The 27,595-nt window shown below is 50.6% G+C and overlaps 2 protein-coding genes across 11 annotated transcripts in view, besides 4 other annotated features; one reads left to right on the top strand and one right to left on the bottom strand.

Annotated features, from left to right (window-relative positions):
- Window positions 919-1,418: an enhancer, noted in NCBI's record as "H3K4me1 hESC enhancer chr19:41889835-41890334 (GRCh37/hg19 assembly coordinates)". NCBI's record gives its function as "activates a minimal SCP1, AML or CMV promoter by ChIP-STARR-seq in primed H9 embryonic stem cells {active_cell/tissue: H9 hESC(primed)}" and the evidence as "EXISTENCE:reporter gene assay evidence [ECO:0000049][PMID:30033119]".
- Window positions 1,265-21,401, bottom strand: TMEM91 (transmembrane protein 91). 8 transcript variants are annotated; one of them, NM_001369864.1, is made up of 5 exons: window positions 21,253-21,401; window positions 8,494-8,750; window positions 6,829-7,067; window positions 2,427-2,576; window positions 1,265-1,485 (listed from the first exon to the last, which is right to left on the bottom strand). In NM_001369864.1, the coding sequence occupies exons 3-5, from the start codon at window positions 7,036-7,038 to the stop codon at window positions 1,444-1,446; spliced, it is 402 nt and encodes a 133-aa protein (NP_001356793.1). In that variant the 5' UTR covers window positions 7,039-7,067; window positions 8,494-8,750; window positions 21,253-21,401; the 3' UTR covers window positions 1,265-1,443. The 8 variants fall into 8 exon arrangements, with proteins under 8 accessions (NP_001356793.1, NP_001356791.1, NP_001092295.1 ...); NM_001369862.1 differs by lacking the exon at window positions 21,253-21,401 and adding an exon at window positions 1,716-1,787 and having other exon boundaries at window positions 1,265-1,474; window positions 8,494-8,815; NM_001098825.2 differs by lacking the exon at window positions 8,494-8,750.
- Window positions 5,322-5,495: a silencer, noted in NCBI's record as "fragment chr19:41885758-41885931 (GRCh37/hg19 assembly coordinates)". NCBI's record gives its function as "represses an EF-1alpha promoter that drives an FKBP-Casp9 reporter gene in an ReSE screen in K562 erythroleukemia cells {active_cell/tissue: K562}" and the evidence as "EXISTENCE:reporter gene assay evidence [ECO:0000049][PMID:32094911]".
- Window positions 8,570-8,699: a silencer, noted in NCBI's record as "silent region_10665". NCBI's record gives its function as "represses an Ori minimal core promoter by ATAC-STARR-seq in GM12878 lymphoblastoid cells {active_cell/tissue: GM12878}" and the evidence as "EXISTENCE:reporter gene assay evidence [ECO:0000049][PMID:35858748]".
- The window catches only part of B9D2 (B9 domain containing 2), a 9,733-nt gene continuing 3,336 nt past the window's right edge, over window positions 21,199-27,595 (top strand). Inside the window, exons 1-3 of one of the 3 annotated variants that reach the window (NM_030578.4) lie at window positions 21,199-21,390; window positions 21,825-21,916; window positions 27,326-27,451. In NM_030578.4, the coding sequence (NP_085055.2) occupies window positions 21,829-21,916; window positions 27,326-27,451 (214 nt within the window). In that variant the 5' untranslated portion in view covers window positions 21,199-21,390; window positions 21,825-21,828. Of the gene's footprint in view, window positions 21,391-21,422; window positions 21,585-21,824; window positions 21,917-27,325; window positions 27,452-27,595 lie in introns of those variants that run through there. The other 2 variants (XM_011527349.3, XM_011527350.3) reach the window with 2 other exon arrangements.
- Window positions 21,224-21,343: an enhancer, noted in NCBI's record as "active region_14679". NCBI's record gives its function as "activates an Ori minimal core promoter by ATAC-STARR-seq in GM12878 lymphoblastoid cells {active_cell/tissue: GM12878}" and the evidence as "EXISTENCE:reporter gene assay evidence [ECO:0000049][PMID:35858748]".

Raw genomic sequence — 27,595 nt, 5'->3', positions numbered from 1 at the left:
CACATCTGTCACAAGCACTTAGCAGAGGCACATAGGAAGTGCTCACTAAGCACACTAAGAGGGGCTAGACATTATCAAGCAATAAAGACCAGGCTTGGTGGCTCACGCCTGTAATCCCAGCACTTTGGGAGGCTGAGGTGGGTGGATCACCTGACGTCAGGAGTTCGAGACCAACCTGACCAACATGGTGAAAACCTGTCTCTACTAAAAATACAAAAATCAGCCAGGCGCAGTGCTGCGCACCTGAAATCCCAGCTACTCAGGAGGCTGAGGCAGGAGAATCTCTTGAACCTGGAAGGCAGAGGCTGCAGTGAGTTGAGATTGCACCATTGCACTCCAGCCTGGCAACAGAGCGAGACTCCATCTCAAAAAAAAAAAAAAAAATACAAAAAATTAGCCAGGCATTGTGGCACACGCCTGTGGTCCCAGCTCCTTGGGAGGCTGAGGTGGGAGGATCACTTGAGCCTGGAAGGTCGAGGCTGCAGTGAACCAAGATCGGGCCACTGCACTCCAGTCTGGGTTGACAGAGGGAGATCCTATCTCAAAAAAAAGAAAAGAAAAGAAAAAAAAGCTCAGAGGGAGACAGCAACAGCAGACAGTCATTTCCACATATGATGCATTTAATCCTCACTACAGCCTGAGGTGTGCAGAAAGTCCCATTTTGCAGAGGAGAAAAAGTGAGAAGTCACTTGGGCCAAGCTTACACAGCTAACAGGTAGAGGAGTAAGGACTTGAAACTCAGCTCTCTCCAGTTCTCTGCTAACCACCCATATTGGGATGAGAACATCCTGCTGTTTAGAAACCACCAGGCATGGTCGCTCATGCCTGTAATCTCAGCTCTTTGGGAGACCGAGGCGGGAAGATCAGTTGAGCCCAGGAGTTTCAGACCAGCCTGGGCAATATAGTGATACCTTGTCTTTACAAAAAAATTTTTTTAATTAGCTGGGTGTGGTGGCAGGTGCCCGTAGTCCCGGCTACTTGGGAGGCTCCTGGGCTCAATCAGGATGATTGCTTGAGCCCAGGAGTTCAAGGCTGCAGTGAGCCATGATTGTGCCACAGCACTCCAGCATGGGCAACAGGGAGACCATCTCTCAAAAAACAAAAAAAACCCGAAAATCCTCTTCCCCCTTTTCCAGCTCAGGTCTCAGGGAGCAAGCACCCTGGGGATGCCCACCACAGCCCGTCACCCTGACCAGTCAGTCCCCTGTTGGTCTCAAGCACCCCCACCCCCTTCCATCCTCCCACACACGCGAACAGACTCTGGTTTGGCTGCAAGGGTGTCTGGTGTTTAATCTCAGGTTGCTGCCGCCCGAAGAGCGGTGGCCAGGAAGGGGAAGGGTTCCAGTCCAGCTCGCTCCCGTTTCTAGATGCTCCTGCCGCCGCCGCAGCCTCATCCACCAAGATTCTCCACTCTCTGCCCACAGATTTGCTGGGCTGCCGGCCTCAGGGTTCACAGTGAGGGCTGTAGGGGCAACTAGGGCGGGTCTCGGGAGGCAAGGTAGGCAGCCAGGGTCACCAGGGCAGCCGCATACGTGCACACGCCCAGCCCGACGGCGAGGACCCCCAGCAGGAAGGCACGGCGGGAGGCGGCCCCTGCCCCCTGGATGTCCCCCTTGGCCCAAGCCTTGTTGGTCTGTAGAGGCAGTGGGCAGCAGTGACCCAGGCATCCCCTCAGTCCCAGACCCTTCCCCTGGTCCCTCCCCCACCCAACATACCCATTCATTCATTCATGCATGTATTCCAAAAGCAGATACGTAGCACCTACTATAGGTCAGGCACTGGGGATGCTGAGTGGTTAATAAAAACATTAAAATGGTAAAAAATAATAATAATAATAAATTTTAAAAAATAAATAAAAACATTAAAATGGTATATGCCACTATTCTAACTCATTTGATTCTCACATTGACCCAGAGGTAGCAATTATTCCCACTTTACAGATGAGGAAAGTGAGGCACAGGGAAGTTAAGTGACTTGCCCAAAATCTTGCAGAGAGCTGGGCACCGTGGCTCACGCCTGTAATCCCAGCACTTTGGGAGGCCAAGATGGGAGGATCACTTGAGGTCAGGAGTTCGAGACCAGCGTGGCCAACGTGGTGAAACCCCGTCTTTATTAAAAATTCAAAAATTAGCCAGGCATGGTAGCGCGCGCCTCTAATCCCAGCTACTCAGGAGGCTGGGGCAGGAGAATCACTTGAACCCAAGAGGCAGAGATTGCAGTGAGCCGAGATTGTACCACTGCACTCCAGCCTGGGCGACAAAGTGAGACTCAAAAAAAATCTTGCAGAGAGTGGCAGACTCAGGATTTGAGTTCAGGTTCTCTGGGCTACCTTCCACCTTCCCGCCTCAGGTATATGGCTCTTTGTTTTTGTGGTGCATTTTTCTCTTTTATGCCCAGTCCCCTCCAAGTCCCACACACAGACTGACCTTCTGGGCTAGACAGAAGGCAGCGATGCCAACGGGCCAGAAACAACACAGCATGGAGAAGACAGCCAAGCCGAGGTGGTCGTGGGGTAGAAATGGTGAAAGACGGCTGCCTCCATCCCAGTCCGAGTCACTGTCACTGGATGACATGTCCTACGGACAGGAAAGTGCCCAGGTGGGCATCTCCATCCACCTTTCCTGCCCCATTGCTCTGCTCTCCATAGCCCTCAAAGGCCAATACCTGCCCCTAGGGCTTCCCCAGAGATACAAAGAGAAAAAAGTGTTCAGAGATGGGCTTTCGGTGTTTGTTTGAGACGGAGTTTTGCTCTGTCACCCAGGCTGGGGTACAATGGCACAGTCTCGGCTCACTGCCTCCCGGGTTCAAATGATTCTCCTGCCTCAGCTTCCCGAGTAGCTGGGATTACAGGCACACGCCATCACACCTGGCTAATTTTGTATTTTTAGTAGAGATGGGGTTTCACCATGTTGGCCAGGATGGTCTTGAACTCCTGACCTCAGGTGATCCACCCGTCTTGGCCTCCCAAAGTGCCAGGATTACAGGCATGAGCCACCACACCTGGCCAGAGATGGGCTTTTGACATTTGTATCCTGGAGCCCTTTGAAGGGAAGTTGTGGATCAGGTCTCCAGAGAAGAGCCCCACCCACACCCAGAGTTTTCAGTTCATTTTCAAGGGGTTGACGGATCCAATCATGGACGCTACAATTGCTTACAATCTCTGAGTGAAAAGCCCCCGCATGGCCGGGCGTGGTAGCTTGCACCTGTAATCCCAGCACTTTGGGAGACCGAGGTGGGTGGATCACCTGAGGTCGAGAGTTGGGAGACCAGCCTGGCCAACATGGTGAAACCTCATCTCCACTAAAAATACAAAAATTAGCCAGGCGTGGTGGTATGCCCCTGTAATCCCAGCTACTTAGGAGGTTGAGGCAGGAGAATCACTTGAACCCAGGATGTGGAGGTTGCAGTGAGCTGAGATCGAGCCACAGCACTCCAGCCTGGGCAATAGAGTGAGACTCCATCTCAAAAAAAGAAAAGCCCCTGAGCAGGGACAAACACCACTGAAACAAGGAACCTGCAAAAAGATGGAGATTATTGGCCGGGCACAGTGGCTCACACCTGTCATCCCAACACTTAGGGAGGCCAAGGCGGGAGGATCATTTGAAGCCAGGAGTTTGAGACCAGCCTGGGCAATACAGCAAGACCCCATCTCTACAAAAAAAAATTTAAAATTAGCTAGGCATGGGCCAGGCTCAGTGGCTCACGCCTGTAAGCCCAGCACTTTGGGAGGCCAAGGCAGGCGGATCATGAGGTCAGGAGATCGAGACCGTCCTGGCTAACACAGTGAAACCTCGTCTCTACTAAAAATACAAAAACAAAATTAGCCGGGTGTGGTGGCACACACCTGTAGTCCCAGCTACTCTGGAGGCTGAGGCAGAAGAATGGCATGAACCCGGGAGGCAGAGCTTGCAGTGAGCCGAGATTGCGCTACTGCCCTCCAGCCTGGGCGACAGAGTGAGACTCCATCTCAAAAAAAAAAAAAAAAAAAATTAGCTAGGCATGGTGTCTTGTGCCTGTAGTCTCAGCTACTTTGGGAGGCTGAGGCAGGAGGATGGCTTGAGCCCAGCAGTTTGAGACTCCAGTGAGCTATGATCACATGTCTGCCCCCCAGCCTGAGCAACGGAGCAAGAAGACCCTGTCACTAATAAATAAATAAATAAAAGATGGAGATTATAAAATGCTCCAGTGGCCTAAATGATTAGGGCAAACCTGCCTGCTGAAAACTCTAGAGTTTAGATTTTTAAGCTTTTTTTTTTTTTTTTTTTTTTTTTGAGACAGAGTCTTGCCCAGGCTGGAGGGCAGTGGCTCAATCTCAGCTCACTGCAACCTCCATCTCCCAAGTTCAAGCAATTCTCCTGCCTCAGCCTCCCAAAAGCGGGGATTACAGGCACCCACCACCACGGCCAGCTAATTTTTTTTTTTTTTTTTTTTTTTGAGACAGAGTTTCACTCTGTTGCCCAGGCTGGAGTGCAATGGCGTGATCTCGGCTCACTGCAACCTCCGCCTCCCAGGTTTAAGTGATTCTCCTGCCTCAGCCTCCCGAATAGCTGGGATTACAGGTGTGCACCACTACACCTGGCTAATTTTTGTATTTTTTCTTTAGTAGAAACTGGGTTTCACCATGTTGGCCAGGCTGGTCTCGAACTCCTGACCTCGTGATCCGCCCGTCTCAGCCTCCCAAAGTGCTGGGATTACAGGCGTGAGCCACCGCGCCTGGCCTAATTTTTGTATTTTTAGTAGAGACGGGCTTTCCCTACATTGGTCAGGCTGGTCTTGAACTCCTGACCTCAAGCAATTAACTTGTCTTGGCCTCCCAAAGTGCTGGGATTACAGGCATGAGCCACAGCGCCCGGCCCCACATGCTTTTCTTACCATGTGACTTTGATATCCTTCCCATCAAGGGATGAGTTCTGTGTCCCCTCCCCTTGAATTTGAGCAGGCTCATGACTCACTTGTAATTAATAGAATGTGGTGGAAGTCATGTTACGTGACTTCCAAAGCGAAATCAGAAAAGGTGAGGCAGCTTCTGCTTTGCTGCAATATTCATGCTGTAGGCTGGAGGTACATAAGCTGCCTGACTGCCCTGAAGCCGTTATGCTGTAAGGAATCCCAAGGCAGCAAACATGGAGAGACCACATAGAAGCCCTAAGACTCGGCTGGGCACGGTGGCTCACGCCTGTAATCTGGCACTCTGGGAGGCTGAGGTGGGTGGATCACCTGAGGTCAGGAGTTTGAGACCAACCTGACCAACATAGTGAAACCCTGTCTCTACTAAAAATACAAAATTAGCTGGGCATGGTGACACATGCCTGTAAATCCAGCTACTCAGGAGGCTGAGGCAGGGGAATTTGCTTGAACCCAGGAGGCGGAGGTTGCAGTGAGCTGAGATTGCACCATTGTACTCCAGCCTGGGCAACAAGGGTGAAACTCCATCTCAAAAAAAAAAAAAAAAAAAAAAAGGAAGCCCTAAGACACCATGAAGAGAGAGAAAAGTGCCCAGCCAGCCCCTGACTGTTCTAGTTCCACCCACCAGCTGAATGCAACCTCAAGAAAGATCCAGAGGCAGAACCATGCAACTAAGTCCCAAATTCCTGACCAACAGAAACCGTAAGAGTTCATCATGATTGTTGCCTGCCTGCCTTCCTTTCTTTCTGCTTTCTCCTTCCTTCCTTCCCTCCTTCCTTTCCTTGTTTCCTTCATTCCTTCTTTCTTCCTTCCTTCTTTCTCTCTTTCTCTCTCTCTTTTCTTTCTTTCCTTCCTCCCTCCCTCCCTCTCTCTTTCTCTCTCTCTCTCTCTCCCCCCTCTCCCTCTCTTTTTCTTTCTTTCTGTCTGTCTTGCTCTGTTGTCCAGGCTGGAGTAAGGTGGTATGATCACAGCTCATTGCAGCCTGGGCTCAAGCGATCCTCCCACCTCAGCCTCCCAAGTAGCTGGTACTACAGGAACACGCCATCACACCTGGCTAATTTTTTTTTTTTTTTTTAAGATGGGGTCTTTCTAATTTTCGGAGGACAAAATGAAAAATTAAATAAAAATAAAGATGGAGTCTCACTAAGTTGCCCAGGCTAGCCTAGAACTCCTGGGCGAGGCAGTCCTCCTGCCTCGCCTTCTCAAAGTGCTGGGATTACCAGTGTGAGCCACTGTGCCTGGCCTGGAATGAGAAATTATAAAAAGTGACAACAGTAACTTAAAAAAAAAAAAAAAAAAAAAAAAGGAAGGCTGGGCATGGTGGCTCACACCTTTAATCCTAGCACTTTGGGAGGCCAAGACAGGCAGATTGCTTGAGCTCAGGAGTTTGAGACCAGCCTGGGCAACATGACAAAACCTCTTCTCTACAAAAAACACCAAAAAATTAGCCAGGCATGGTGGCACATGCCTGTGGTCCCAGCTACTCAGGAGGCTGAGGTGGGAGGATTGCTTAAGCCCGGGAGGTCAAGGTTGCAGTAAACTATGATCGCTCCACTGCACTCCAGCCTGGGCAACAGAGCGAGACCCTGTCTCTCTCTCTCTCTCTCTCTCTCTCTCTCACACACACACACAAAGAGGGAGACAGCAGGGTGGACAAAAGCCAGAGGTGCATGCACTCTGAAGACACCAACCAGCGGAGTCTGAGATCAGAGGGAAGACAGAGCCAAAAGCCAGGCAACAAAGATGAGAGACATAAAACAAGAAGAACCGTAACTGGAAATCTCAGAAGCCCACACACAGCTGGGAAGTGAGACTCCAGGCCTAAGGCAGATCGGCACAGCTGTCAACCTGCCAGATGCTGGCCTTAGTGGGGCTCACCCCAGCCCCCTCCCGTGCCTTCCACTAAGGCCTGCTGTTTCCTACCTCAACATCAGGGGGCCTTGGTTCCCCCAGGCCAGCGCTCACGGAGGGAAGAGGCGGTGACAGGAACTGCAAACCCCTCAGGGACTCGGCAAAGGCTATCTCTCTTAAGGGGGACCCCAGCTCATGCCTGCCAGGCTTCTGGGCAGGGGTCTCACATTCTGTGCCCTCCAGCAGAGGCTGTTGAAGCTCACGAAGACTAGGGCTGTCCATGGCTTTGGGGAAACTCCAGGAGGGGTTTCCTAGGGGTAGGGGGAAGAAAAAGACAAGTTGTAAAAGTCTCACTTCACTCAACCTCTGACCCCTTGCTTTAGAGAGACTCAGGCAGAGACTAGTTAGTGCAGTGGTCCTCAGACCCATTTTACAGATACAGAAGCTGAGGCCCAGAGAGAAAAAAAGATTGGCCTCAGGTTATGAAGAGAACTCAGGGGTCTGGACATTCAATTTTGGGCATTTCTCTCTCTCTCTCTTTTTTTTTTTTTTTTTTGAGACAAAGTCTCCATCTGTTGCCCAGGCAGATCCACCACTGCAGATCCGCTAGAGTGCAGTGGCATGATCTCAGCACACTGCAGCCTCCACCTCCCGGGTTCAAACCATTCTGCCTCAGCCTCCCGAGTAGCTGGGATTACAGGCGCCCACCACCATGCCCGGCTAATTTTTTTTTTTGTATTTTTAGTAAAGATAGGGTTTCACTGTGTTAACCAGGCTGGTCCCGAACTCCTGACCTTAGGGGATCCACCAGCCTTGGCCTCCCAAAGTGCTGGGATTACAGGCGTGAGCCACCGCACCCAGCCAAATTCTGGGCATTTCTCTCAGGCAAAAGCCACATACCCATCACACTTACCCCAATAAGTTGCAGCACCTGTTGCACCATGCCTTACACACTTACCTGCCCCACAAACACCCCCAATATCCATCCCAGGTTCATACCGCGTGACCACCTATCCAGGCCCAGGCACCCCTCCCAGTCACACACACACCCATCCCCTACCCCCAGTGCTGCCTGGAACTGCACTCTAGTCTACATTCCCCATCCTCTGTCCCCTAGACCTGCCCCCCGAAGTCCCCTGCCACACAGCCCCATCTAGGCAAGCCCAGCCTCCACCTCCACACATTCATCTCCCAAAGGACTCCTTGAATATTTGCCCCAAAACATCAGCTCCCAGAAAACACCCCTTTCAGGTCCCCAACCTTCTTACACATTTATCCCAATTGACTCCGTGCACAACCCTACTCCCCACTGCATCACAAACCACAGACACCTGTGCACACACGCACACATGCACCCCGGCACTCTCTCCTATTCTCATGACCTCTGGCATGCCTGCCCCACTCATCAGGCCCAGGCACCCCTGCCCTACTCCACCCACACACCTATGACTCCACACAACTCCCACACATGCACCAGCTCTCCAGAATCCTTTGCACACCTCGCCCCCATAAACACCCTCAACCCCAGCACACACATACACGTACACACGCAACACAACCAGAAAGAATATTCTTCTTCTCGTCCTACGATCCCCCTGGAAGGTCCCCAAGCCTCCTGCCTGCTCATTCCAAACCTTGACTGAGCCGATTTCCTCGCCAAAGCTTTGCCCTCTCATCCCCAACTCCAGGACCCAGGGAAGGGACTGTGACCCCCACCCACCTACGTCCCTCACTCACCGCTCACGATCACAGGCCGGGGCTTCCTGAACCCTCGCAATGACACTTGCCCGGACCCTGCCACCGAGGATCCAAGGGGCGCTGGGACCTTGCGCTTTGCTCTACGCGGGTCTCAGCGCCCCGGGCCCGCTGCGCGCGGGGGCGGGGACGGGGCGGGGCGACGGCTTCCCAGGCTCTGTCCCTCCGCGGCGTCCGGCGAGGGATCCCTGAAAGCCGACGTCAGCGTCCAGGAACGGGTTCCTACGACTCCCGGGGGTCTGGGAGCAGGCGGGAATCCTTGGAGAACTGCAGCCCCTTCCTCGTGAGCCCAGGCCCAAGCTCTGCCGGAGGAGGGGGCACCCCGGATTCTCCAGGGCCTTCCTGGCTTGGCCCCGCCTCCCTTCCCCTTTGCGCAATAATAGCCAATAATAATAACAGCAACAAGGACCGTGCGCCCTGTTCTAAGTGCTTTGCAAATAAACTTACATACACATGTATTCCTCAGCACAACCCTAAGAGGCATAATCGTTTATTGTCCTGTTTCACGCGGGAGGAAACTGGCAAGCCGAGGTTAGGTAAATTGCCTAGGGGTACATCATTGGTTCATTGAGGGCAGACTGTACCCAAGCCCTGTGTTAAACGCTTTACATTCATCATCGCATTCATTCTTCCTCTCAGCTCCGGGTTTTTCTTGTTGTTGTTGTTGTTGTCGCTGCTATTTTACTTTGGTTTTTTTGTTTGTTTTGTTTTGTTTTTGAGACGGAGTCTTGCTCTGTCGCCCAGGCTAGAGTGCAGTGGAGTGATCTCGGCTCACCGCAACCTCCGCTTCCCGGGTTCAAGCGATTCTCCTGCCTCAGCCTCCCGAGTAGCTGGGATTACAGGGGCAAGCCACCACGCCCAGCTAATTTTTGTATTTTTAGTAGATGAGATTTCGCTGTGTTGGTCAGGTTGGTCTTGAACTCCTGACCTCAGGTGATCTGCCCGCCTCAGCCTCCCAAAGTGTTAGGATTACAGGCGTGAGCCACCGCGCCCGGCAGATTTTTTTTTTATTATTATTTTTTAAAAGACGGGGTCTTGCTCTGATCGCCCAGGCTGGAAGGCAGTGGCGCAATCATTGCTCGCTTCAGCCTCAGACTCCTGGGTTCACTGCAGCCTCGGCCTCCCAAAGCGGTGGGATTACAGGTGTGAGTCACCGCGCCTGGCCTATTTTGTTTTGGGGTGTTTTTTTGCGGAGGAGTGCTGAAGGGGTGTTGGCTTGTTTTTAATCCCTGTTTTGCAGATAAAGAAACGGGCTCACGGGCCGGGCGCAGTGGCTCACGCCTGTAATCCCAACACTTTGGGAGGCCGAGGCGGGCGGATCACGAGGTCAGGAGATCCAGACCATCCTGGCTGACACGGTGAAACCCTGTCTCTACTAAAAATACAAAAAATTAGCCGGGCTTGGTGGCGGGCGCTTGTAGTCCCAGCTACTTGGGAGGCTGAGGCAGGAGAATGGCGTGGACCCGGGAGGCGGAGCTTGCAGTGAGCCGAGATCGCGCCACTGCACTCCAGCCTGGGAAACAGCAAGACTCCGTCTCAAAAAAAAAAAAAAAAAAAAAAAAAGAAAAGAAAATAAACGGGCTCACTTGCATGCTCACTTGGCCACAGTAAACAGCTGGTACCAAGCCCAGCATATTGTAACCCCGGGCTGTGTTCCTGTGGCCCTTGCTAAGCCAATGGGTGAGGAGGAAGCAGAGGCAGGTGGGTTAGGAGTTTCTAGGGAAAGAAGGCTGAGGAGTGGGGTCCAGTAGGGGGTGATGCTCTGATTGTCACGTGGTACAGTGATGTTCATGAGTCAGCATTTGGACCCACATAGACCTGGTTTCCTTTCCAGGCTCTTTGTTTGTTTGTTTGAGATGGAGTTTCACTCTTGTTGCCCAGGCTGGAGGGCAATGGCGTGATCTCGGCTCACCGCAACCTCCGCCTCCCAGGTTCAAGCGATTCTCCTGCCTCAGCCTCCCGAGTAGTTAGGATTACAGGAATGCGCCATCACACCTGGCTAATTTTGTATTTTTGGTAGAGATGGGGTTTCTCCATATGAGTCAGGCTGGTCTTGAACTCCCGACCTCAGGTGACCCACCCGCCTCAGCCTCCCAAAGTGCTGGGATTACAGGTGTGAGCCACCATTCCTGGCCCCTTTCCAGGCTCTTTAAGTCACTGAGTGTGTGGCCTCTAGACAATGCCTTCACCTCTCTGAACCCCTATTTCTTCACCTACAAAATGGGGATAATGCTCCTTGCCTCTTATGTGATAACATATGTAGAGTACTTAGAGTTGCTGCAACAACAAATGTCCAACATTGGGAGCCTCTCTGAACCTATTTTGGTTTAGGTGCTGCCTAGGAAATAGAAAAATAAAAAATAAAAAGAACAGATATCCAACATTTATCCAAAGCCTGGCAAAGAAAGCACTCTGAACACATTTGATGGTGTTTATTAATATTATTATTTACATCCATCTCCATCGGACTGATTACAAGACTATCATCGTCTTGCAAGCTTCCACCTCCTTCATGGAGCCTTGTATAGGCCTCCCTTCCCAGAAGCCCTCCGTCTCACCAGACTGGAGGATTCCCTGGCCTTTGTGGGGCCGGAGTTCCCTCGCTCCAGGGCTCCAGGGCTCCTTGCCAAGAGTCCAGATGCTGGCGCTGGCACCGGCCCCACTCCCAGGGAGAACAGATGGCGTCTGCAAGTGCACTTGGCTCAGCCAGTTTCTGGCAGACGACAGAAGCAGGGAGACCCACGGGAGGGTAGACGAGAGCGTGAGGGGGCAGGATTGTTTTACTCAGGAGGGATGCCCTGTTACTTTCTATCTCAACCTTGCTCTCATTCTTTTCATATTTCTATGAAGCATACTGTAGGCCAGGTGCGGTGGCCCACGCCTGTAATCCCAGCCCTTTGGGAGGCCGAGGAGGGAGGACTGCTTGAGCCTAGGAGTTCGAAACCAGCCTGGGCGACATAGCAAAACCCCAGTCAGCAAGGCTGGAGTGCAGTGGCACGATCTCAGGTCACTGCAACCTCCATCTCCTGGGTTCAAGCCATTCTCCCACCTCAGCCTCCCAAGTAGCTGGGATTATAGGAACCTGCCACCATGCCCAGCTAATTTTTGTACTTTTAGTAGAGACGGAGTTTCACCATGTTGCCCAGGCTGGTCTCAAACTCCTGACCTCAAGTGATCTGCCCGCCTTGGCCTCCCAAAGTGCTGGGATTATAGGCGTGAGCCACTGCACCCGGCCTTAAACATACCATGTATTTTTCTTGTTTGTAGTTTGAATCCTCCCACATCAGTGTCGGCACAACAAGGGCTGAGATTTGATCTCGTTTTTTCACTACTGTGCCTCACGGCCTAAAACAGTGCCTGGCACAAAGTGGGTCTTTATTACATATGTGTGGGATGGGGGCATAAATTCCCATCAGCCTCCAGCCTCAGTTTTTCACCAAATCATTGAGCTCTGTGGGTCCCCTCATCCCTCTAGGCCATCCTAGAGATTAATTCACTTCCAGTGAGAGCTCTCTGGCTGCCGTTAGCCTTGTACAGTCTAAGAGGCTACACCTCTTAGTGTTTGTGACAGGTCTGGAATATTAAACATGAGATTCCAGCTGGGTACGGTGGCTCAAGCCTGTAATCCCAGCACTTTGGGAGGCCAAGGTGGGAGGATTACTTAAACCCAAAAGTTCAAGACCAGCCAGGGCAACAAAGTGAAATTTTGTCTCTACAAAAAATAAACAAAATCAGCTGGGTGTGGTGATGCATGTCTGTGGTCCAAGCTACTCGGGAAACTGAGATAGGAGGATTGGTTTAGCCCAGGAGGTGGAGGTTGCAGTGAGCCATGATTGTGCCACTGCAGTCCAGCCTGGGCAACAAAGTGAAACCCAGTCTCAAAAACAAAAACAAAAACAAAAACAAAAGATCACGAGATTCCAGCAAGGATTGTCAACAGAGACTGAAACTATTAAGTTATTGGGTGAAAATCTGATTTGATAAAGAACAGGATATTTATTTAGTCTCAAAGTAGCTTCCCCTAGATTACTTATTATAACAAAAAAAAATTAATGGAGAAAATTGGCAAACATCACGTTAACCAGATGATACAAGTTAATATCACCATTAACAGGACAAATTGACCTTAGTTGCCTCTGGTCTGAAGCAAAGAGGGAGACACATACCATTTCTTTGGTTTTCCTGCCAAAATGCATAACTTAAATCTAATAATAAGAAACATGAGACAAAGCCAAAATGAGGGACACTCTACAAAGGAGGTCGCCTATAACCTTCAAAACATCAATGTTATGAAAAAACAAAGTAATAATAATAAATAACAATAAAATAAAGTGCTGGCCAGGTACAGTGGCTCATGCCTGTAATCCCAGCACTGTAATCCCATGCCTGTAATCCCAGAGGCTGAAGCAGGAGGATTGCCTGAGCCCAGGAGTTCCAGGCCAGCCTGGGCAACACAGTAAGACCCCCATCTCTCCCAAAACTTTTTTTTTTTAAAGGAAGTCTCACTCTGTTGCCCAGACTGGAGTGCAGTGGCGCAATGTCAGCTCACTGCAAATTCTGCCTCCCAGGTTCAAGTGATTCTCCTACCTCAGCCTCCGAGTAGCTGGGATTACAGGCACGCACAACCATGCCCAGCTAATTTTTATATTTTTAGTAGACACAGGTTTTCACCCTGTTGCCCAGGCTGGTCTCGAACTCCTACCCTCAAGTGATCCCCACCCCCGCCCCCTACTGCCTCAGCCTCCCAAAGTGCTGTGATTACAGGCGGGAGCCACTGAGACCACCCTCTCTCTCCAAAACTTAAAAAAAAATTAGCCGAGCACGGTGGCACACACCTGTAGTCCTAGCTACTTGGGAGGCTGAGGTGGGAGGATCACTTGAGTCCAGGAGTGGCTGTGATAGCCACTGCACTATAGTCTGAGTGACAGAGCAAGACTCCAAGTCAAAAAAAGGGGGGTCAGGAAGGAAAAAAATCCTGTTGCATGCTATGACCTGGATGACCCTTGAGGACACTATGCTAAGTGAAATAATCCTGTCATAAGAGGACAAATACTGTAGGATTCCACTTACATGACGTACTTAGAGTAGTCACATTCACAGAGACAGAAAATAAGATAGTGGCCGGGTGCAGTGGCTCATACGTGTGATCTCAGCACTTTGGGAGGCTGAGGCAGGCCGATCACGAGGTCAAGAGATCGAGATCATCCTGGCCAACATGGTGAAACCCCATCTCTACTAAAAATACAAAAACTAGCTGGACTTGGTGGTGTGCGCCTGTAGTCCCAGCTACTCGGGAGGCTGAGGCAGGAGAATCACTGGAACCCAGGAGGTGGAGGTTGCAGTGAGCCAAGATTGTGCCACTGCACTCCAGCCTGGAGACAGAGCAACAGAAAGAAAGAAAGAGAGAGAGAAAGAGAGAGAGAGAAAGGAGGGAGGGAGGGAGGAAGGAAAGAAGGAAGGAAGGAAAGAAGGAAGGAAGGAAGGAAGGAAGGAAGGAAGGAAGGAAGGAAGGAAGGAAGGAAGGAGAGGATAGTGGGCCAGGCATGGTGGTTCACACCTGTAATCCCAGTACTTTGGGAGGCCAAGGCGGGCAGATCACCTGAGGTCAGGAGTTCGAAATCAGCCTGGCCAACATGGCAAAACTCCGTCTCTACTAAAAATACAAAAGTCAGCCGGGCATGATGGTGCATGCCTGTAATCCCAGCTACTCGGGAGGCTGAGGCACAATAATTGCTTGAACCTGGGAGGCAGAGGTTGTGGTGAGCTGAGATCTCACCAGAACACTCCAGCCTGGGTGACAGAGCGAGACCCTGTCTCAAAAAAAATAAAAAACAGGCCAGACACGGTAGCTCACGCCTGTAATCCCAGCACTTTAGGAGGCCGAGGCGGGCTGATCACCTGAGGTCAGGAGTTCGAGTACATCCTGGCCAACATGGTGAAACCCTGTCTCTACTAAAAATACAAAAATTAGCCAGGCGTGGTGACACATGCCTGTAATCCCAGCTACTTGGGAGGCTGAGGCAGGAGAATCCCTTGAAGCCAGGAGGCAGAGGTTACAGTGAACAGAGATCACGTTGCTACACCACAGCCTAGGCAACACAATGAGACTTCCTCTCAAAAAAATAAATAGGTGGCCAGGCACGGTGGCTCACGCTTGTAATCCCAGCACTTTGGGAGGCCGAGGCGGGTGGATCACAAGGTCAGGAGTTCGAGACCAGCGTGGCCAATATGGTGAAACCCCGTCTCTACTAAAAATACAAAAATTAGCTGGACAAGGTGGCACACGCCTGTAGTCCCAGCTGCTCAGGAGGCTGAAGCAGGAGAATCGGTTAAACCCGGAAGGCGGAGGTTGCAGTGAGCTGACACGGTGCCACTGCACTCCAGCCTGGGCAACAGAGCAAGACTCTGTCTCAAATAAATAAATAAATAAATAAATAAATAAAATAAAAATAAATAAATAGGTGGGGCACAGTGGCTCACGCCTATAATCCTAGCACTTTGAGAGGCCGAAGCAGGCAGATCACCTGAGGTCAGGAGTTCGAGACCAGTCTGACCAACATGGAGAAACCCCGTCTCTACTAAAAATACAAAATTAGCCAGGCATGGTGGTGCATGCCTGTAATACCAGTTACTCGGGAGGCTGAGGTGGGAGAATCACTTGAACCTGGGAGGCAGAGGTTGCGTTGAGCTGAGATCATGCCATTGCACTCCAGCATGGGCAGCAAGAGTGAAACTCCATCTCAAAAAATAAATAAATAAATAAAGTAAAATAAATACATTGAAAGAAAATAGGATGGTGATTACCAGGAGCTGCAGAAGAGGGGGGAATAGGGGAGTTGTTTTGTTTCAAAAATGTGTTTACTTTGCAAAAATTTTAGTTTTGCAACATGAAAATGGTTGTGGAGATTGGTTGCACAATGTAAATGTACTTAACACTATTGAACAATACAGTTTTAAACAGTTAAGATGGTAAATGTGTATTTTACCACAATTAAAAGGCTTATTTATTTATTTTTATTTATTTATTTTGAGACAGAGTCTCGCTCTGTCACCCAGGCTGGAGTGCAATGGTGCAATCTCGGCTCACTGCAACCTCCACCTCCTGGGTTCAAGTGATTCTCGTGCCTCAGCCTCCCGAGTAGCTGGGACTACAGGCGCTCGCCACCACGTTCAGCTGATTTTTTTTGTAGTTTTAGGAGGGATGGGGTTTCACCATGTTGGCCAGGCTTGTCTCGAACTCCTGACCTCAAGTGATCTGCCTGCCTCGGCCTCCCAAAGTGCTGGGAATCCAGGCATGAGCCACTGCACCGGGCCTTTTTTTTTTTTTTTTAGAGGTGCAGTCTTACTTTGTTGCCCAGGCTGGAGTGCAGGGTGCCATCATAGCTCACTGCAGCCTGGACTTCCTGCACTCAAGGCATCCTCCGGCTTCAGCCTCCAAAGTAGCCGGGATGGCCAGGCGCGGCCATACATGGCAAAACCCCATCTCTACTAATTAGCTGGGCGTGGCGGCAGGTGCCTTCAATCCCAGCTACTTGGGAGGCTGAGGCAGGAGAATCACTTGAACCCAGGAGGCAGAGGTTGTGGTGAGGAGAGATCACACCATTGCACTCCAGCCTGGGCAACAAGAGTGAAACTCTGTCTCAAAACAACAACAACAACAAAAATGAAGTAGCCGGGACCGCCGGCTGTGTGCCATACTTGGCTTAAAAGCATTTTGTTTTTGAGACAGGGTCTCACTCAGTTGCCCAGGCTGGAGTGCAGTGGCACAATCACAGCTCACTGTAGCCTCCAACTCTCAACCTAAGCGATCCTCCCACCTCCGCCACCAGAGTAGCTGGGACTACAGGGGCATGCCACCACACCCAGCTAATTTTTTGTATTTTTTGTAGTGATGGGGTTTCATCATGTTGTCCAGGCTGCTCTCAAACTCCTGGATTCAAGCAATCTGCCCGCCTTGGCCTCACAAAGTGCTGGGATTACAGGTGTGAGCCACTGTGCCCAGCCCCATATTCTATTGGTTAGAAGCAAATTACAAAAACTAGCCATACTGAAGGGAAGGAGAATTAGGCTCCACTTACTGAAAGGGGGCTGCCCAAGCATTTGTGGATATATTTTAAAACAGCTTCAGGCCGGGCACAGTGGCTCACACCTGTAATCCCAGCACTTTGGGAGGCTGAGTCAGGTGGATCACTTGAGGTCAGGAGTTCAAGACCAGCCTGGCCAACATGGTGAAACCCCGTCTCTACTAAAAATACAAAAATTACCCGGGTGTGGTGGCACATGCCTGTAATCCCAGCTACTTGGGAGGCTGAGGCAGGAGAATTGCTTGAGCCTGGGAGGCAGAAGTTGCTGTGAGCCCTGGCCCACAGAACGAGACTCTGTCTCAAAAAAACCCAATAACCACCCCCCCCAAAAAAAAGGTGACAGGTTTTCACTCTGTCACCCAGGCTGAAGTACCTTGGCATGATCACAGCTCACTGCAGCCTCAAACTCCTGGGCTCAAGGGATCCTCCTGCCTCAGCCTCCTAAGTAGATGGGACTGCAGACATGTGTCACCATGCCCTGCTATTTTTTTTTTAAACGTTTTCGTAGAAATGAGGGTCTCACTACGTTGCCTAGTCTGGTCCAGAACTCCTGGCCTCAAGTGATCCTGTTGCTGTGGCCTCTCAATGTGCTGGGATTACAGACAGCCATGAACCACCAGGCCTGGCCAACTTTCGATAATGTGGTTAGATAATTCAAACTTAAAGCTGTTGGAACTTTAAATTATTCCAAGCCTTGAGAGGAATGTTGCTATGTAGCCTGAGTCACGTAGCATGCAGTTACAACTTCTGCTTTTTCCTGTAAATGATTAAGAATGACCAAGCAGTGCCAGAGATAAGATCACCTCAGAACATTACTCCTAGGCCGGGTGTTGTGGCCTCACATCTGTAACCCCAGCACTTTGGGAGGCAGAGGTGGATCACTTGAGCCCAGGAGTTTGAGACAAGCCTGGGCAACAGAGTGAGACCATGTCTCTACAGAAAAAATTATTGAAAAATTAGCTGGGCATGGTGGCACACGCCTGTAGTCCCAGCTACTGGGGAGGCTTAGGCAGGAGGCTTGAGCCTGGGCGTTCGAGGCTGCAGTGAGCTGTGATTGTGCCACTGCACTCCAGCCTGGGTAACAGAGCAAGATCTGTTTGTTGTTGTTTTGTTTTGTTTTTGAGACTTTGTCTCACTCTTGTCCCCCAGGATGGAGTGCAATGGCACGATCTCAGATCACTGCAACCTCCGCCTCCCAGGTTCAAGTGATTCTCCTGCCTCAGCCTCCCGAGTACTTGGGATTACAGGCGCCCGCCGCCATGCCCAGCTAATTTTTGTATTTTTAGTAGACACGAGGTTTCATCATGTTGGCCAGGCTGGTCTTGAACCCCTGACCTCGTGATTTGCCCGCCTCAACCTCCCAAAGTGCTGGGATTACAGGCGTGAGCCACCGCGCCCAGCCCCAGAGCAAGATCTTATCTCAAGAAAAAAGAAAGGAGAAAGAAAGAAAGAAAGAGTACTCCTCCTCCTATCAGAATGTTAACGCAATCTTCCCTGCAGCATAGCAAGATGTACTAATGAAACTGTTGTAACATATGTACTGGTCCTGTAGCCTGGAATAAACTCTATAGTTAATCATATTTTCCTTTCTTTTCTTTTTTTTCTTTTTTGAGAGTAGAAGTCTGGCTCTGTCGCCCAGGCTGAAGTGCGGTGGCGTGATCTCGGCTCACTGCAACTGCTGCCTCCCAGGTTCAAGTGATGCTCCTGCCTCAGCTTCCCAAATAGCTGACACCACAGGCATGTGCCACCACACCCATCTAGTTTTGGTATTTTTTAGTAGAGACAGGGTTTCGCTATATGTTGGCCAGGCTGGTCTCGAACTCCTGACCTCAGGGTATCCACTCTCCTTGGCCTCCCAAAGTGCTGGGATTACGGGCATGAACCACCGAATCCGGCCTCAATCATATTTTCTGAATCTCATTATTTATAGTTGACGATAATTTATTTTCTTTTATTTAACATGTATACATGGGAGCCTTCAGAATGAAGACCTCAGCCGGGAGCAGTGGCTCATGCCTGTAATCTCAGCACTTTGGGAGGCCAAGGTGGGCAGATCACCTGAGGTCAGGAGTTTGAGACCTGCCTGGCCAACATGGCGAAACCCCGTCTCTACTAAAAATACAAAAATGAGGCAGGAGGTGCCAGCCAGGTTGTGGAGAGCCTTGTCATGCATGATAAGACTTTGGCTTTTACCCTGAGTGAAATGGGGACCACTGGACGGGTCTGAGCAGATGGGACCTGACTTAGGTGTTCACAGGGTTCCAGCTGCATGTGGGGTGCAAACTAGAGGGGTTGGCAAAGGGGACCCCAGAGACAAGGTCCCTGTCATAGTCCAGGTGATAGATGAACTTGGACAGATCAAGGTGCAGGGCGACAAAGAGGTGAGAAGTGGGATTTAGGGTGTATTTCAAAAGTAGAGGCAGTAAGATTTCCTGATGGACAAAATGGGGGCTTGAGAAAAGAGAATGCAAGGCTGGTGCCACCACTAGGGGACCAGGGGCCCCAAGAGCTGAAAGGTTAGAGCTGTCTACCTCACCCACACAGCATCCAGAAATAAATAAATAAATAAATACATTTTCCCCAGCTCCAGCTTAAAGGACAGAAAGATCATTTAAAAGTGAAACCTCTGCCAGGTGCAGAGGCTCACTCCAGCCTGGGCAACAGAGCAAGATTCTGTCTCAAAAAAAAAAAAAAAAAAAAGTAAATAAATAAAATAAAAAAGAAAATACAAAAAGTAGCTGGGCCCAGGCGAGGTGGCTCATGCCTGTAATCCCAGCACTTTGGGAGGCTGAGGCAGAAGGATCACATGAGGCCAGGAGTTCGAGACCAGCCTGACCAACATGGTGGAACTCCATCTCTACTAAAAGCACAAACATTAGCTAGATATAGTGGTGGGTGCCTGCAATCCCAGCTACTAAGGAGGCTGAGACAGAAGAATTGCTTGAACCTGGGAGGCGGAGGTTGTGGTGAGCAGAGATCATGCCACTGCACTCCAGCCTGGGCGACAGAGGGAGACTCTGTCAAAAAAAAAAAAAAAAAAAAAAACCCGGCCGGTCACGGTGGCTAACGCCTGTAATCCCAGCACTTTGGGAGGCTGAGGCGGGTGGACCACCTGAGGTCAGGAGTTTGAGACCGGTCTGGCCAATATGGTGAAAACCCGTCTCTACTAAAAATACAAAAATTAGCTGGGTGTGGTGGTGCACGCCTGTAGTCCCAGCTACTCGGGAGGCTGAGGCAGGAGAATCTCTTGAACCCGGGAGGCAGAGATTGCAGTGAGCTGGGATCGCACCACTGCACTCCAGCCTGGATGACAGGGGGAGACGCCATCTCAAAAAGTAAAAAACCAAAATTATAACGAGGGTACAACATTTCAATAGGATAACATTTATATTAAACAATTCAATGGAATACTTCACTAGTTGATATATGCATTATTAATGGGGTCTCCCTATATTCGAACTTCTGGCCTCAAGAGCTCTTCCCGCCTCAGCCTTCCAAAGGGCTGGGATTACAGTTATGAGCCACCGCGCCTAGCCAATGGTAGCTTGTAAATACTTTGTATCTATTGGCCTGGCTGGGTGGCTCACGCCTGTAATCCCGGCAGTTTGGGAGGGAGAACTGGGAGGATAGCTAGAGCCCAGGAGGTCAAGACAAGACTGGGCAACATAGCAACATAGCAGGACTCCATCTCTTAAAAAAAAAAAAAAGAATTAGCCAGCCGTGGTGGTGCATGTCTGTGATACCAGCTACATGGGAGGCTGAGGTAGGAGGATCCCTTGAACCCAGGAGTTAAGAGGCTGCAATGAGCTGTGATCGAGCCACCGTACTCCAGCCTGGGTGACAGAGTGAGACCCTTTTAAGGAGCCTTGATGGGACCTGATGACTGGCTTGATGTGGGAAATGATGGCATCTAGGATGGCATCCAGGGACAACATCTCCATTTCTTGATTGATAAATCAATCAATAGGAAAGAGGATTTTCTGCAAATAAGGGAATCTTAGTTCCTCATTTCTCTTCGCTACCCCAACCGCTCCTTGCTCAGAATCAAGCAGTAACAGTGAACTTGGTAGTAGCTCCGAGAAGGAAGTTGGACTTATCCAACTTCCTTCCTTCCTTGTCCTTGAGAAACCTAGGGGAACTCTAAAACGGAAGCAGAACCCACTCCCCAACTTCTCCACTCTCTGAATGAGGAGTGATTTTTTTGCTTTGTTTTCCAGTTACAAGGCCGGGGATGTACACGAGGTCCTGGAAGGAATTCCCCCTTGGTCCTGGTTCAATCTCTGATTTGTGATCCCGGACCACAGAGAGCTCTTCGGTGGGGTAGGCGCAGCACGGAGCAGTTAGGGATTTGCTTTTTTGGTAAAGAAGGTATCTGGGAGAAACTGCACTCAAACTTCCTCAGCCACACTCAACATGGCAGCTTCCTAGCCACGCCCAAAATGGCGGAACCCTTTGCCGTAGCTGGAGAGACGCTATTTTCCCAAAATGGAGCGGAGGAGGAAAATGTCCATCACAGCTTCACCCCGCCCCCCGCAGACGGCTAGCACCAATTAGTAGCGCGCAGAGCGAGTACAAAGCTAGGGGAGGAGCCTGCTGTTGCCCCAGCAACAACCACGGAAACCAAGACGAGCGCGGTCGCGGAAGTATCGCGGCTTACATATCTCGCAGCCAGGCGGGTCCTGGGAGAGGCGCGAGCCAGGCCTGGTCGGCGCCCGCGGAGAAAAGAAGCAGTCAAGCCCATGAACTACAACCCCGGTTGCCGCTTTCTCCTCTCCTAACCGTTAAGTGCGCTAAGGTAGGAATGACGCATGCGCTGCGCTTAGAGGCGGGGTTAAGTCGGACCTGAACTCATAACGCATGCGCCTTATGGAGCTTGCTGGGGGAGGGAAGCGGGGTGGCTGGCGTGACGCGGAAGGCGGGTCTTTTGCGCTCGTGGGCGGAGCCATAGCCCCTTCGGGCGGGGCTTTCCGCCGACCTGAACCCGAAAAGGTTATTTTGGACTTCCCAGAGTTAAATGCTGGTTCCCCAGACAAGGGTCCCCCCATTTTTTCCAGGCTTTCATGGGTTGGCAATTAGGATCTGTGGTCAAGACCTCAGCCTCAGGGGTGTGACGAAGCTAGCTTGGAATCCTAGTACTACCCTTTACTTGCTGGGCCTCAGTTTCCCCCCCGTCAAATGGAGATAATACACTTACCTCACAGGGTTGTGATTATATTTTTCCCCTCCCAGGGCCATGGCTGAGGTGCACGTGATCGGGCAGATCATAGGGGCCAGCGGTTTCTCGGAAAGTAGCCTCTTCTGCAAGTGGGGCATTCACACAGGTATTCCCCCAAGCCTGGTTCATTTCCACACCAAGACCCCTAGCCTAGAGGCTACATGCTCCTTCCTCCACCCCTTAACGCAGACTCTTAACCTCATTTCCATCAGTTCTCAGTACTCCAGGCCCAGCCCACACCCTGTCCACATGAGTCTCAAGCTCCCATCTTTGTGTGTGTGAGGGGTGGGATACAGACAGGGTCTCTCTCTGCGCCCGGGCTGGAGTAAGGTGGTGTGATCATAGCTCAGTGCAGCCTCGAACTCTCGGGCTCTAGTGATCCTCCCGCCTCAGCCTCCTGAGAAGCTGGGACTACAGACACGCACCACCAAATCTGGCTAATTTTTTTTATTTTTTGTAGAGACAGGGTCTCGCTATGTTGCCCAGGCTGGTCTCGAACTCCTGCGCTCAAACAGGCCACCCACTTCAGCCTCTCAAAGTGCTAGGATTAAAAACGTGAGCCGCCACGTCCCAGGAAAGTAATTTTGTTCATGCTTCCCCAACTGAGGCCCTATAGAGTCATGGTATAGTGTAATGGTTAGGGTCATGGGCTGCCAGATCTGCATTTAAATATTAACTCCCCCACCTATTAATTGGAGACCTTTGGACTCGACCACTTTGAGCCTCAGTTTCCTTGTTTCAAAGTGAAGCTAATAGTAGCTAAGAAGCAGCACAGGTTTGAGGTTAAGAGCACAGACTGCCTGGGTTCAAAACCAGTTATTGCTTGTTAAGGCACCCTTGGGCTGATTATGTGAACTTGGGCACTTCTCTTCACCTCGACTTCCTTGTTTGTACAATGAGAGTCATAGAAATATTTACCTGTTGAAGTTGTCATGAGTACTAAACGAGTATCAACAGCACTTAGAATAGGAATAGGGCTGGAATAGGAAGTGCTCATTCAGTGTTTGCCTGGCTTATACAAGACTTTGATGGGGTCTTGTTTGTAAAGCCTGGGGTATGTTGTTGCGTGGCACAGATGAATGTCTATGAAACAGATGTGGCCATTTGGCATTATCATGTCTTCAGGCCTGAGTCCTAGTCCCTTTTTTTTTTTTTTTTTTTTTTTTGAGACTCGTTCTGTTTCCCAGGCTGTAGTGCAGTGGTGCAATCTAGCTCAGCCTTCCAGGTTCATGCCATTCTCCTGCCTCAGCCTCCTGCATAGCTGGGACTACAGGCGCTCGCCACCATGCCCGGCTATTTTTTTTTTTTTTGTATTTTTAGTAGAGATGGGGTTTCACTGTGTTAGCCAGGATGGTCTCGATCTCCTGACCTTGTGATCTGCCCATCTCGGCCTCCCAAAGTGCTGGGATTACAGGCGTGAGCCACTGCGCCTGGCCCTTTTTTTTTTTTTTTTTTTTTTGAGACAGAGTCTCACTCTGTAGCCAAGCTAGAGTGCAGTGGCACGATCTCGGCTCACTGCAATCTCTGCCTCCTGGGTTCAAGCGATTCTCCTATGTCAGCCTCCCGAGTGGCTGGGACTACAGGCACCCGCTACCATACCCAGCTAATTTTTGTATTTTTAGTAGAGATGGGGTTTCACCATGTCGGCCAGGCTGGTCTTGAACTCCTGGCCTTAAGTGATCCGCCTGCGTAGGCCTTCCAAAGTGCTGGGATTACAGGCGTGAGCCACTGCGCCTGGCCCTTTTTTTTTTGAGACAGAGTCTCACTCTGTAGCCAAGCTAGAGTGCAGTGGCACGATCTCGGCTCACTGCAATCTCTGCCTCCTGGGTTCAAGCGATTCTCCTATGTCAGCCTCCCGAGTGGCTGGGACTACAGGCACCCGCTACCATACCCAGCTAATTTTTGTATTTTTAGTAGAGATGGGGTTTCACCATGTCGGCCAGGCTGGTCTCGAACTCCTGGCCTTAAGTGATCCGCCTGCGTAGGCCTTCCAAAGTGCTGGGATTACAGGTGTGAGCCACTGCGCCTGGCCCCTGGGTCCTTTTTGATTCTACAGGTAAGTGAGGTGGAAGTTGAAATTCCCAGGAAATCGGAACCCTCCAGCTGATGGATGAGGGGCAGGCTCTGGAGTCAGACTTGGTTTCCAGGTTGGACCACTCACCTTCTCTGTGACCCTGGGCAGAGGCTGTCCCCTCTTGGAGCCTCAGTTTCCTCATTTGTTCTTCATAGGGCTGTTGGGAAATCTTGCTTTTAAGGAGCCTGACGCAGGGCCTGGTGCTTCCCTCAACTCAGCCCAGAAGGGAGTAATGACTAACCTGATTTTTATTATTTCAGGGAGTTGCTGGGGATGTTGATCCAGCCAAGAATACTGAGGCAGTTGGATGAAAGGCTTGGGCTCTGCAGTTAGAGCTGAGTCTGAATCCAGTCCCATGATGGGACCTTGGTCTGCTATAGTCACTGCTATGTCACCAGCATGGAAAACAGTGCTTGGCACATAGCAGGTGCTGAATAAATGTTCATGAACTCACCTTCTCAGAGCCTGTTTCTTTACCTGTTAAATGGGGATTATATTAGCTCCCACCTCCTAGGATCACTTATTTGTCCAAGAAACATTTATTGAGCACCTTCTGTATACCAAGAGCTGGGTTTGTGGTCTTGGGGATCCAGCAGTGTGCAAGGTCCCTGTTTTCCTGGGCCATACAGTAGGGGAGACAGAAAATAAATAAGCAGGCCAGGCGCGGTGGCTCATGCCTGTAATCCCAGCACTTTGGGAGTCCGAGGCGGGCAGATCACCTGAGGTCAGGAGTTTGAGACCAGCCTGGCTAACATGGTAAAACCCCATTTCTACTAAAAATACAAAAAAAATTAGCTGGGCATGGCGGCGTGTGCCTGTAATCCCAGCTACTCGAGAGGCTGAGGCAGGAGAATCGCTTGAACCCAGGAGGCGGAGGTTGCAGTGAGCCGAGATGGTGCCATTGCACTCCAGCTTGGGCAACAAGAGCAAAAGTCTGTCTCAAAAAAAAATAAATAAAATAAAATAAATAAACAGATAAACGAGTGCAGTTGGGTGTGGTGACTCACCCCTGTAATGCCAGCACTTTGGGAGACTGGAGCAGGAGGATCACTTGAGCCCAGGAGTTTGAGACCAGCCTGGGCAACATAGTGAGACCCCCGTCTCTACAAATAAATAAAAAATTAGCAAAGCATAGTGCTGTGTGCCTGTCGTCCCAACTACTTGGGAGGTTGAGGTGGGAGGATTGCTTGATCCTGGGAGGTCAAGGTTGTAGTGAGCTGTGATTGTGCCACTGCACTCCAGCCTGGGTGACAGAGGGAGATCTTGTCTCCCCCCACCCCCCCAAAAAAAGAAAGGAGCACCGTGATTCCAGACAGTGGTAAGTGCTAGGATGAAAAGAAATGATGTGGCAGGGACTAGTGTTTGGTGAAGAGGGTCAGGGAGAACCCCTCTGTGGAAGTGGCACTTGAGCTGGGCCCTGAAGGATGAAAACAAAAGCTAGGGATGGGGACACCCAGGAGCAGAGCTTTCTAGGCAGAGGGAACAGCCAGTGCAAAGGCCCTGAGGTGGGGAGTCAGAAGTGGGACAGTGAGGCCAGAGGGTGATGAGGGAGGGGGAGAGTGATGGGAGATGAACTCAGGGAGGGGAGCAAGAGCCAGGCCACGTGGGCCATGGTGGAGGGTCTGTAAACTGGGGGGTGAGGAGGGGATTAAGAGTCCTAGAGGGTGGATTAAATGAATGGATGCTTAAAGTACTTAGCATAGCATCTGGGATTTAGTTAGTACTCGGTGCATTTTCTTTTTTTCTTTTCTTTTTTTTTTTAGATGGAATTTCGCTCTTGTTGCCCAGGCTGGAGTGCAATGGGACCATCTTGGCTCACTGCAACCTCCGCCTCCTGGGTTCAAGTGATTCTCCTGCCTCAGCCTCCTGAGTAGCTGGGACTATGGGCGTGCGCCACCACACCCAGCTAATTTTTGTATTTTTTTAGTAGAGATAGGGTTTCAGAATGTTGGCCAGGATGGTCTCGATCTCTTGACCTTGTGATCTGCCTGCCTTAGTCTCCCAAAGTGCTGGGATTACAGACGTGGCTAATTTTGTGGGTGTGTGTGTGTGTGTTTTTAGTAGAGACAGAGTTTTACCATTTTGGCCAGGCTGGTCTCGAACCCCTGACCTCAAGTGATCCACCTGCCTTGGCTTCCCAAAGTGCTAGGATTACAGATGTGAGCCACTGCGCCCATCCTAATTTTTGTATTTTTAGTAGAGATGGGATTTCGCCATGTTGGCCGGGCTGGTCTCAAACTCCTGACCTCAGGTGATCAGCCCGCCTCAGCCTCCCAAAGTGCTGAGATTACAGGCGTGAGTCACTGCGCCTGGCTTGTTTGTTCATTTTTTGAGATGGAGTCTCACTGTGTCACACCAGCTGGAGTGCAGTGGTGCAATCTCGGCTCACTGCAGCTTTTCCAGCGATTCTCGTGCCTCAGCCTCCCGAGTACCTGGGATTACAGGCACCTGCCACCACTCCAGACTAATTTTTGTATTTTTAGTAGAGACGAGGTTTTGCCATGTTGGCCAGGCTGGTCTTGAACTCCTGACCTTAGATGATCCACCCCCCCCTAAGCCTCCTAAAGTGCTGGGATTAGAGGTGTGAGCCACTGCGCTCAGCCTTAATTTTTATATTATTTGTAGAGATGGGGTTTTGCCATGTTGGTCAGGCTGGTCTTGAACTCCTGGACTCAAGGGATCTACCTGCCTTGGCCTCCCAAAGTGCTGAGATTACAGGTGTGAGCCACTGTATCCTACCACTCAGTGCATTTTAGCTATCATTATCACCCCTCAGTAGGATCGAAATTGTTATGTGTGTTTCAGGATGCGCTCCTGGAGGGTACCCTTGGCCCCATCTTAATCCTTGGACTAGGCTTGAAAATATGGGGTGAGAATCGTAATAAAATGATATTGAAGACTTATCCCGTGCTCACTATGCTCATTACCCATTCATGGATTAATGGGTTAATGGATTAGTGGGTTATCATGGGAGAGGAAGTGGTGGCTTTATAAAATGAGAGAGAGAGACGTGAGTGGCATGTTAGCACACTAGCCTTGGGACTCTCTGAAGAGTTCCAGCAAGAAGGCTCTTACTAGATGGGGCTCCTCCACCTTGGTCAGTCTCCTATAACTGTGAGATAGAAATTCCTTTTCTTTATAAATTATCCAGTTTTGGATATTATGTTAAGAGTAACAGAAAACAAATGAAGACAATGAGGAATGCATTATTACTCAGCTCATTTTATAGATGGGGAGACCAAGGCAGAGAAAGCTAACTTGCCCAAGGTTGCAGAGGCAGGAAGAGGTAGTGCCAGGATTTGAACCCAGATACTTGGTTCCAGAGTCCATGCTTCGTAACCCCTACCAGTAGATGCCACAGAGAAACAGTCCTATAGCCACAGCGGCATCCCCTTCCCGATGGCTGCCTCCCACCCCTCTATGTCCCGGCTCTCACTGCAGGGGCGGCATGGAAGCTCCTGTCAGGCGTGCGGGAGGGCCAAACGCAAGTGGACACCCCGCAGATAGGGGACATGGCTTACTGGTCCCACCCCATCGACCTGCACTTCGCCACCAAAGGTCTTCAAGGTGGGTATCACACCTGGACCCGGGTCCAGGCTGAGGGGAGGGGGCCAGTAGCCTCTGAGGTCCCTGGGGCTGGGAACACCAAGACCTGTCCCTGCTCCCCATACCACGTAGGTCCCTTTTGCAGCCAAGTCTGGCCCTGGAGAG

Source organism: Homo sapiens, chromosome 19, assembly GCF_000001405.40.
Source record: "Homo sapiens chromosome 19, GRCh38.p14 Primary Assembly".
NCBI classification, from domain to species: Eukaryota; Metazoa; Chordata; class Mammalia; order Primates; family Hominidae; genus Homo; species Homo sapiens.
This window is presented reverse-complemented; position numbering and strand designations above follow the sequence as displayed.